The sequence below is a fragment of the Homo sapiens genome, chromosome 3 (assembly GCF_000001405.40).
Source record: "Homo sapiens chromosome 3, GRCh38.p14 Primary Assembly".
Classification (NCBI taxonomy): Eukaryota; Metazoa; Chordata; class Mammalia; order Primates; family Hominidae; genus Homo; species Homo sapiens.
This window is the reverse complement of record NC_000003.12, coordinates 196,525,783-196,537,046: the sequence shown is the minus strand read 5'-3', so window position 1 is coordinate 196,537,046 and position 11,264 is coordinate 196,525,783. Positions and strand designations below refer to the sequence as shown.

Genomic DNA, 11,264 nt, shown 5'->3' with positions numbered 1-11,264 from the left:
TATTTCTTGTTAATAAACACTTTATGGCTCTAAGGAACCATTATTATTTCAGTATTCAAATTTAAAATTTTTTTGCCCAAGTAGATTTCTTTACAATCAATCTATTTTAAATTTCCAGGGCTGAGCACATTGGCTCATGCCTGTAATCCCAGCACTTTGGGAGGACGAGGCGGGCAGATAACTTGAGACCAGGAGTTCAAAACCAGCCTGGCCAACATGGTGAAACCCCATCTCTTTTTTTTTTTTTTTTTTTTGGGTTTTTCAAATGTTTATTTTATGTACAAAGAATGATCATGGTTTTTCATTGAGTAGATGCCTTGGATAACCCTTTGAAGGAAGATCATTTAGTCCAACTTAATGAAACCGACATCCTTCGCGTACTGACGGAAACACTGGCGGCGCATATTGAGGCCATATTTCCGGATCAGACCGTGCCGGTTTGAGCAGACGCGACAAGAGCGAGAACCCTGGCCGAATTTTCGCGCGTGGCTCCAGTACAGCTGCTGGTGACCCATCTTGCTCTCAGGAGTGCAACGAGGTAAAAGGGGAACCCCGTCTCTTCTAAACATACAAAAATTCCCCGGGCGTGGTGGCTCACGCCTGTAATCCCAGCTACTCAGGCGGCTGAGGCAGGACAATCGCTTGAATCCAGGAGGCAGAGGTTGCAGCGAGCCAAGATCGCGCCACTGCACACCAGCCTAGGCTACAAAGCGAGACTCTGTCTCAAAAAAAGAAAAAAATAATTTCAAAAGTTTAAAAATTATTTTCCAAAAAATGTTATTTCCCAGGGTCATGGCATCCTTGTTTATGTTTATGAAACATCATTCATCTCTACTATCCCACTGTGTATTCCCATTGTCTCTTCCCATCATTGACTGTGGCCACTTCCCTCAAAGCTACGTCTTCTGAGACCAGTGGTTCATAACCCTGGTTGCAAATCAGATTCACCTTTGTTGATCTGAAAACTATCTAGGCCGGGCACAGTGGCTTACTGCCTGTAATCCCAACACTTTGGGAGGCTGAGGCTGGTGGATCACTTGAGGTCAGGAGTTCGAGACCAGCCTGGCCAGCATGGTGAAACCCCGTTGTCTGTACTAAAAGTAAAAAAATTAGCCAGGCCTGGTGGCTGGCGCCTGTAATCCCAGCTACTCAAGAGGCTGAGGGAGGTGAAACACTTGAACCAGGAAGCAGAGGTTGCAGTGAGCCAAGATCATGCCACTGTGCTCCAGCCTGGGTAACAGAGCAAGACCCTGTCTCAAAAAAAAAAAAAAAAAAAAATTAAAAAATAAAAATAAAATTAAAACTATCTAGATGTCTGGATCCTATCTGTCAAAAAACTGATTCAATACCAATTACAGAATGAGTTTAATAGGTTACAGTATCATTTAGCATGTTGCAAATCAACTTATCCTTCCAGAATACTAACAAAATCTGTATGAAATATTTTTTAAAATGAATATGTGCACTTATCAGAATGGTTAATATAAAAAATAGTGACAATACTAAATGCTGGTGAGTATGTGGAGAAACTGAGTCACTCCTACATTGGTGGTGGGAACGCACAGTGGTACAGCTACTCTGGAAAACAGTTTGGCAGTTTCTTACAAAACTAACCATGCTACTACCGTATTACCCATATTATCTGGCAATTGCACTCCTGGGCATTTATTCCAGAAAAATATTGGACACATATTTATAGCAGCTTTATTTGTGATAGCTCAAAACTGGAATAAGCCAGATTCCTTCCACAGGTAAATGGTTAAACAAATTACAGTACACCCATACTATAGAATACTACTCAGAATTAAAAGAATCAAACTTAGCTTAGCTTTTTGTTTGTTTGAGACAGAGTCTCACTCTGTTGCCCAGACTGGAGTGCAGTGGCATGATCTTGGCTCACTGCAACCTCTGCCTCCTGGGTTCAAGCGATTCTCCTGCCTTAGCCTCCTGAGTAGCTGGGATTACAGGCGCGTGCCACCATGCCGGGCTAATTCTTTGTATTTTTAGTAGAGACGGGGTTTCACCGTGTTAGCCAGGATGGTATAGATCTCCTTGACCTCGTGATCCTCCCGCCTCGTCCTCCCAAAGTGCTGGGATTACAGGCGTGAGCCACTGCACTCAGCCTATAATATCCTCTTAGCTTTTTGTCATCTGTTTACATGTATAATGATGTCCCCTTCTTCAATCCTGTTATTGGTTATCTGTGACTTCTCTTATTTATTAATCTTGTCAGGAGTTTTTCAGTATCAATAACCTTTTCAAAGAACCATTTAAAAATTGTTTATTTATTTATTTGGAGAGATGATCTCACCCAATTGCCAAGGCTGAAGTGCAGTGGCACAATCATAGCTCACTGCAGCCTCAGACTCCCGGGCTCAAGTGATCCTCCTACTTCAGCCTCTCAGGTAGCTGGGACTACAGGTGCACACTGCCTCACCTGGCTAATTTTTAATTTTTTGCAGAGATGGGATCTCCCTACGTTGCCCAGACTGGTCTCAAACTCTTGGCCTCAAGTGATCCTCCAACCTCAGCCTCCCAAACTGCTGGGATTACAGGCTCAACCCACCATGCCTCGCCTAAATTTATTTTTTAATGACAAAAAATATATATATTTATGGTACATAACATGATGTTTTGAAATATGTTTACATGTGGAGTGGCCAAATCAAGCTTGCTACCATATACATTATCTCACAAAAAAAGTCTGCTTTTAAAAAAATGCAACCCTCAAGTGGAACCAGAAAAGACATTTTATTTCTTTAGATATGTGGTCTTGGTAGGTTGCCCATGCCAAGCTCAAGTGATCCTCCTGCCTCAGCCTCCCAAGTAGTTGATACCACAGGCACACGCCACCATGCCCAGCTTCTTACCATTTTTTTTTTTGCGATGAATTGTTGCGGGAACTCAGGGACCCTGAACGGAGGGACCAGCTGAAGCCACGGCAGAAGAACATAAATTGTGAGGATTTCATGGACATTTATTAGTTCCCCAAATTAATACTTTTATAATTTCTTACGCCTGTCTTTACTGCAGTCTCTGAACATAAATTGTGAAGATTTCATGGACATGTATCACTTCCCCAGTCAAGACTCATAATTTCCTGTGCCTGTTTGTACTTTAATCTCTTAATCCCGTCATCTTCGTAAACTGAGGATGTATGTCACCTCAGGACCCTGTGATGATTGCGTTAACTGCACAAATTGTTTGTAAAACGTGTGTTTGAACAATATGAAATCTGGGCACCCTGAAAAAGAACAGGATAACAGCGATGTTCAGGGAACAAGGGAGATAACCATAAGGTCTGACTGCCTGCGGGGCCGGGCAGAACAGCGTCATATCTTTCTTATTGCAGAAAACGAGTAGGAGAAATATGGCTGCATTCTTTTCCCAGCAAGGAATCACCCTGGGAAGGGAACGCATTCCCGGTGGGGGGCATGGACGGCCGCTCTGGGGCTGTCTGCCTCATGCGGTTGAAGATAAGGGATGAAATAACGCCCTGCTCTCCTGCGGCGCCCCCAGGCTTGCTAGGATTAGGAAATTCCAGCCTGGCGAATTGTAGTCAGACCAGTTCTCTGCTCTTGAACCCTGTTTCCTGTTAAGATATTTATCAATGACAACGCGTGCACAGTGGGACGTGAAACCTCATCAGTAATTCTAATTTCGCCCTGGCCTTGTGAGCTTGCTCTGCCCTTATGCCCTTGTGATCTTTTATTGCCATTTGAATGAAGCGTGTGATCTCTGTGACCCACTCCCTATTCATACCCCCTCCCCTTTTGAAATTCCTAATAAAAACCTGCTGGTTTTGCGGCTCAGGTGGGTATCACAGAACCTGCCGACACGTGATGTCACCCCCGGAGGCCCAGCTGTAAAATTTCTCTCTCTTGTACTCTTTCTCTTTTTTTCTCAGACCAGCTGACACTTAGGGAAAATAGAAAAGAACCTACGTTGAAATATTGGGGGCTGGTTCCCCCAATAATGAACACACTTAAGAACTATTCTCTTAGCAAATTTCAAGTATACAATACAGTATTATTAACTATAATCACTGTGCTGTGTATTAGATCTCCAGAACTTATTCACGTTATATTGAAAGTTTGTACCCTTTGGCCAACATCTCCCATCTCCCCAGCCTCCTAACCAACCCTGGCAACCAACATTCTACTCTCTGTCCCTGCTTCTAGAAGTTTCACTTTTTTCAATTCCTCATATAAGTGAGATCATGCAGTACTTGTCTTCCTATGCCTGACTTATTTCTCATAGCATAATGTCGTCCAGGATCTTACATCTTGTTGCAAATGACAGAATTTCCTTCTTTTTAAAGGCTGAATAGTATTCCATTGTGTATATACACCATATTGCTTATTTACTTATTTTTAATGTCATCCATGATGAGCATGTAGCACATTTTTTCAGCATATTGTTTTTCAAATTAATTTTTTTTTTGTTTTGTAGAGATGAGGTCTCACTATGTTGCCTAGCCTGGTTTCAAACTCCTGGGCACAAGTGATCCTCTTGCCTCAGCCTTCCAAAATGCTGGGATTATAGGCATGAGCCACCATGCCTAGCATACCACATTGTTGATGGCTCCTTAAGTTGATTCCATATCTTGGCTATTATGAATAACGCTGCAATTAATGTGGGAGTGTAGGTGTCCCTTCAACACACTGAGTTCATTTCCTCCAGATATGCACCTAGTATATATCATTGCTGGATCATATGGTAGTCCTATTTTTAATTTTTTCAGAAACCTCCATACTGTTTTTCATAATGGCCGTAATAATTTACATTCCCATCAATAGTGCACAAGGGTCAAAGAACTAATATTTGCCTTTGATAATCCTTTCTATTATTTATTTCTTTCTATTTCATGAATTCCTGCTCTAATCTTTATTATTTCCTTCATTCTAATAACTTTAGGTTTAATTTGCTCTTTTTCTAACACCTTGAGATGAACACTTATCTCACGGATATGTCCAGCTTTTATTTTGCATTTGAGACAAAATTTCTTCAAAGTACAGTTTTAGCTACCTCCTTATTGTCTTATGTCACATTTTCATTGTTTTTCAATGAAACATTTAAAATTTTCATTGTATTTTCTTCTTTGAGACATGAATAATTTAGAAACATGGTAAAACACTGAAACTTTCTTCATGATGTTGGTAACAAGAGAATAGAATGAAGCCTATAATCCCAGCACTTTGGGAGGCTGAGGCAGGCAGATGGCCTGAGGTCAGGAGTTTGAGAATAGAATGAAATTCCCTTGATTAATTCTATTCAACATTCTGTTGAAGGTGTAGACATTACAACAAGACAAGAAAAAGAAATGAAAGACATAAGAATTGGAAAGGAAGAACTAAAACTGTCATTCACAGACAACATGATTGTGTTTGCAGAACAAGGACGGATGCGGTGACTCACGCCTGTAATTCCAGCACTTTGGGAGGAAAAGGTGGGTGGATCACCTGAGGTCAGGAGTTTGAGACAAGCCTGGCCAACATGGTGCAACCCTGTCTCTACTAAAAATACAAAAATTAGTCAGGTGTGGTGGCATGTGCCGGTAGTACCAGCTACTCAGGAGGCTGAGGCAGGAGAGCCACTTGAACCCAGGAGGTGGAGGTTGCAGTGAGCTGAGATCACGCCACTGCACTCCAGCCTGGGTGACAGAGCAAGACGAAAGAAAAGAAAGGCGGGCAGGCGGGCAGGCGGGCAGGCGGGCGGGCAGGCGGGCGGGTGGGCGGGCAGGCAGGCAGGCGGGCGGGCGGGCATCTACAGATGAACGACTAAGTGAAAAATGGGTTTAGTAAGGTTGCTGAATAAAAAGGTAAATATAGAAAAATTGGTCGTATTTATAACAGCAATAAGAAAAACATTAAACACTACTTACAACAGCATCAAGAAACATCAAATACCTAGTAATAAATCTAATGGAAAACATGCAAAAACTCTACAAAGGAAACTACAAAACACGACCGAGGAAAATTAAAGAGAATCTAAATAAAGATACGTATCATATTCATGAATTAGAAGGCTAAATATTATGAAGATGTCAATGTAATTCTACTCAATATCCCAGCTCATAGCGTTCTAAAAATTAGCAAGCTTATTGAAAATTTTATATGAAAATGCAAATGGCCCAGAATACCCCAGATAATCTTGAAGAGCATAGCTGGAGGACTCACACTGTATGTTATTAAGACTTTTTAATGAAGCCAAAATAATTAAGGTTGAGTGTGATTTGGGCACAAGAATAAATAAGCAGACCAATGGAACAGAATAGAGGATAGAAATAGATGCTTGCATGTATGCAAACTTGATTAATGACAAAAGTCCACTGCAGAGCAGTGAGGAAACTCTTTATAATAAATGGGATTGAGTCAGTTGTATATCCATATGGAGAAGAAAAGAATCTTGACCTTCTTCACATTAATCCAAAGGTCTAAATTTTAGGCATATTACAGATATAAATGTAATAGGTAAAGTGGTGAAGCTTCTAAAAGGAAAAAAATATTTTCATGACCTTGGGGTAGGAAAAATTTCATATATAAGACATCAAAATGAAAACATGATAAATTGGACTACTTGAAAATTAAGAACATTAGTTCATGAAAACACACCATCAAGATGATGAAAAGAAAGCCACGGAGTGGACCGGGTGCGGTGGCTCAAGCCTGTAATCCCAGCACTTTGGGAGGCCGAGGCAGGCGAATCATGAGGTCAAGAGATCGAGACCATCCTGCCCAACATGGTGAAACCCCGTCTCTACTAGAAATACAAAAATTAGCTGGGCTTGGTGGCATGTGCCTGTAGTCCCAGCTATTCAGGAGGCTAAGGCAGGAGAATCACTTGAACCCGGGAGGCAGAGGTTGCAGTGAGCCGAGATCGTGCCATTGCACTCCAGCCTGGGCGACACAGAGAGACTACATCTCACAAAAAAAAAAAAAAAAAAAAAGATACAATGCACTTTGGGTATTCAGGGGAAAGGGTGGGAAGGGGGCGAGGGATAAAAGACCACACGTTGGGTACCGTGTACACTGCTCGAGTGATGGCTGCACCAAATCTCAGAAATCACCACTGAAGAACTTATGAAACCAAACACCACCTGTTCCCCAAAAACCTATTGAAATAAATAAAAAGTAAGTAAAATATAAAAATGGTAAATTTTGTTATGTATATTTTTGCACAATTTAAACAAACTTTTCTGGCTCACACCTGTAATCCCAGCACTTTGGGAGGCCAAGGCGGGAGGACCACTTGAGCCCAGGAGTTGGAGACCAGCCTGGGCAACGTAGCAAGACTATGTCTTAATTAATTAATTAATTAATTAATTTATGGAGACAGAGTCTCGCCCTGTCACCCAGGCTGGAGTGCAATGGCACGATCTTGGCTCACTACAACCTCTGCCTTCTGGGTTCAAGCGATTCTCCTGCCTCAGCCTCCCGAGTAGCTGGGATTACAGGTGCGCGCCACCACGCCCGGCTAATTTGTTGTATCTTTAGTAGAGATGGGGGTTTCACCATGTTGGCCAGGCTGGTTTCGAACTCCTGACCTCGTGATCCGCCAGCCTCAGCCTCCCAAAGTGCTGGGATTACAGGCGTGAGCCACCGTGCCCGGCCTCAGAAGCTCCACAGTGGGCCTCTTCTTATATTTCATGGGCCAGAATTCTGCCACCTGTCCGTTCCTAAACCAATGATAACGGCAATAATAATAAAATTGCTGTGATTGATTTATTCTAAGACTCACCCCCAACTCTCACACTGGGAAGGGGCTCAGCTTCCCCTGAAGCACGTGGCTGCCCAATACTCAAACAATATCTGGATTTTGCTAAGGAGAAAAAAGTAGTGGCGGGGATCAGGGAGGACCCAGCAAGGTTTTTCTCACTGGGGCAGGGACTGATTCCCTGAGGACGCCGAAGTTCTTCCGGAGACGCACCTGAGACGGACTGACTCCCACCCCGGAGTCCCTGCGGAGTTATAAATGTCCCTTAGATCTGTCCCCTCAGCTCTCCATTCCGGGGACCAGTGTTCTGAGCTCGGCCGCCATCGCCTCACGCTCAGCGACGGGCGTGGCCGGGAGCCGCCTGCGGATGGAGGAAGCGGCCGCCAGCGCCCCCTGGAGGCTCGGGCCGGCTCCACTCCCGCGGCCCCCGCCACCGCCCAGCTCCCCGCGGAGGCGCCCAGGCCGGTCTGAGCCCGACAGGGCGGAACCACCGCGGCGGCGCTGCCCTGAGTGGAAATGCGGCCTCCGCAGCGGGAGAAGATGCTGGGAGCCGGATGGGGCCCGGAGGCGCGACACCGCAGTTCTCCGTACTTGAAGACACCCATCCAGGCCACCTTTTCAGTCGGCTGCAGGGACACGTCCTACAAGGGCGTGCTGGAGGCTGAGCTAGCAAAGCTGGGGCGAGGGCGGGACGGTGGATCATTCGCAGACACATCATCACACCAGGGTGTCCGGCACCTTACCCAAGGCCAGGAATAGCAACTCAGATGTTAAATCGTGTCAAACATCTGTGGAGAAGATGGCACCTTTTTCTTCTCCTTCTTTCTCTCTCTCTCTCTCTTTCTTTTTTTTTTTTTTTTTTTTTTTTTTTTTTTTTTTTTTTTTGAGATGGAGTCTCGCTCTGTCACCCAGGCTGGAGTACAGTGGCGCGATCTCGGCTCACTGCAACGTCCACCTCCCGGGTTCAAGTGATTCTCCTGCCTCAGCCTCCCGAGTAGCTGAGATTAGAGGCATGTGCTACCACGCCCGGCTAATTTTTGTATTTTTAGTAGAGACGGGGTTTCACCATGCTGGCCTGGCAGGTCTTGAACTCCCGACCTCAGGACATCCGCCCGCCTTGGCCTCCCAAAGTGCTGGGGTTACAGATGGGAGCCACCGCGCCTGGCTAATTTTTGTGTTTTTAGTAGAGACGGGGTTTCACCATATTGGCCAGGCTAGTTTCGAACTCCTGTACTCTAGGGATCTGCCTACTTCAGCCTCCCAAAGTGCTGGGATTACAGGCATAAGCCACTGCCCAGCCAAGATGGCACTTTTGACAACATCTGTTTGTCCAGATCAGCAATGAGTCAGCAATTGACTTCTACAGAAGTTTGGCTTTGAGATGACTGAGACAAAGACAGATAAAGGATAAGAGGATGGAGCCTGCAGATGCTCAGGAGTTGCAGAAAAACCTCAAAGTCCCTTCCGATCAGAATGGAGATATGCAAAACACAACTGAACAAGTCACAAAATGAACCTTCTTGCACTTGCTTGTTGACAAAAAAAGACAAGCCCATTGATTTTCACCCCCTCTTTCTTGTAAAGCTTTCCTGCACTGCCATGTTTTTGTTTTTCCTTCTTTCTTTTCTTTTCAAAGTTTTAATACTTTCAAGGACTTTAAAAATGATCATGTTTGGGCCAGGCGCAGTGACTCACTCCTGTAATCCCAGCACTTTGGGAGGCCAAGGTGGGTGGATCACTTGAGGTCAGGAGTTCCAGACGAGCCTGGCCAACATGGTGAAACCCCATCTGTACTAAAAATACAAAAATTAGCCAGGCGTGGTGGCGTGTGCCTGTAGTCCCAAGCTACTCAGGAGCCTGAGACAGGGGAATCGCTTGAACCTGGGAGGCAGAGGTTGCAGTGAGCCGAGATCGTGCCACTGCACTCCAGCCTGGGCCACAGAGCAAGACTCCATCTCAAAAAAAAAAAAAAAAAAAAAAAAAAAAAAAAGATCATGTTTGGATTGTTTCAGTTCTCTTATTTTTGTGAGGTGGTTTGACTGAAGGCAGGAGAAGGTAGATCTGTTTAATTTCACAGTTAAGATAAATGGTTCTAAAAATTTAGGTGTCAAATAATTTCACATTTCTTAGCTTGGAGTTGGAGACCAGCCTGGGCAACATAGCAAGACTCTGTCTCTATTTTTTTTTTTTGGAGACGGAGTCTCACACTGTTGCCCAGGCTGGAATGCAATGGCGAGATCTCAGCTCACTGCAACCTCCGCCTTCTGGGTTCAAATGATTCTCCTGCTTCAGCCTCCTGAGTAGCTGGGACTACAGGCGCCTGCCACCACGTCCGGCTAATTTTGGTATTTTCTTAGTAGAGACAGGGTTTCACCATGTTGGCCAGATGGTCTTGATTTCTTGACTTCATGATCCGCCTGCCTCGGCCTCCCAAAGTGCTGGGATTACAGGCGTGAGCCACCGAGCCTGGCCCTCTTAGTTGTTTTTTCTTAGTCCTGCTTTCACATCGAAGGGCAGAGCCTACAAAATATTGTACATTTCAAAAGACAGAAAGAAGCAGCAGTGATATCTTGTTTTCTAATTCATAGACGAGTTTAGTGTGCTTGTGGTACCTTGGGCTTTGAAAGCCTTTGTGGGATACCAATCCCTAGACATTATCTTCACTCCAGCTTTAGTCCTTCCGAGCACTCTCAGGAGTAGCACCGTTGCTATCTCTGGAAGAAATGCTGAGCATATTTATTATTATTATTATTATTTTGGAGACAGAGTCTTGCTCTGTCGCCCAGGCTGGAGTGCAGTGGCGGATCTCGGCTCATTGCAAGCTCCGTCTCCTGAGTTTAGGCGATTCTCCTGCCTTAGCCTCCCGAGGTAGCTGGGACTACAGGCACGCGCCACCACGCCCGGCTAATTTTTGTGTTTTTAGTAGAAAGAGGGTTTCACCATGTTGGCCAGGCTAGTCTTGAACTCCCGACCTCAGGTAATCTGCCTGCCTTGGCCTCCCAAAGTGCTGAGACTACAGGGGTGAGCCACGGCGCCTGGCCGCATATTTTGATTTTTAAAGCAATTATTTCTTCTCTTCTTGCTGGTGGGTGGGGCACCTTGGGTACGTAGTGTTATACTTTGGTCTAAGTATTTTGAGTTAAACTGCTTTTTTGCTAAAATGAATGGGCTGGTTTTTATCAGGTTTATTTTTCCTGCTGTTGTTACTAATGGCATTAACTTTTAGAGTCGGAAGCGGTAAGACTGATTTTTTAAAATATCCCAGAGATATGGCTTCTAATTGACCTAGAGATTTGTCGTAATTTAACTTTTTTCTCCTGCCCCTTTTCTTCAGTAAATCCAACAATAACCCAGGTGTGGTGGCTCATGTCTGTAATCCCAACACTTTGGGAGGCCAAGGCGGGTGAATCACTTGAGCCCAGGAATTGGAGACCAGCCAGGACAACATAGTAAGATGCCTGTCTGTACATAAAAATTAAAACAAAAAAAAATTAGCTGGGCGTGGTGGTGCATACCTGTAGTCCCAGCTACTTGGGAGGCTAAGGAAG

General features: G+C 44.5%; 2 pseudogenes, besides 3 other annotated features; one reads left to right on the top strand and one right to left on the bottom strand.

The window, feature by feature from the left end:
• Positions 258-546, bottom strand: RPS29P3 (ribosomal protein S29 pseudogene 3; annotated as a pseudogene).
• Positions 3,301-3,914: an enhancer, noted in NCBI's record as "OCT4-NANOG hESC enhancer chr3:196260004-196260617 (GRCh37/hg19 assembly coordinates)". NCBI's record gives its function as "activates a minimal SCP1, AML or CMV promoter by ChIP-STARR-seq in naive H9 embryonic stem cells {active_cell/tissue: H9 hESC(naive)}" and the evidence as "EXISTENCE:reporter gene assay evidence [ECO:0000049][PMID:30033119]".
• Positions 7,990-8,289: a silencer, noted in NCBI's record as "silent region_15066". NCBI's record gives its function as "represses an Ori minimal core promoter by ATAC-STARR-seq in GM12878 lymphoblastoid cells {active_cell/tissue: GM12878}" and the evidence as "EXISTENCE:reporter gene assay evidence [ECO:0000049][PMID:35858748]".
• On the top strand, positions 8,256-9,708 carry NAA50P2 (NAA50 pseudogene 2; annotated as a pseudogene).
• Positions 9,060-9,129: an enhancer, noted in NCBI's record as "active region_21095". NCBI's record gives its function as "activates an Ori minimal core promoter by ATAC-STARR-seq in GM12878 lymphoblastoid cells {active_cell/tissue: GM12878}" and the evidence as "EXISTENCE:reporter gene assay evidence [ECO:0000049][PMID:35858748]".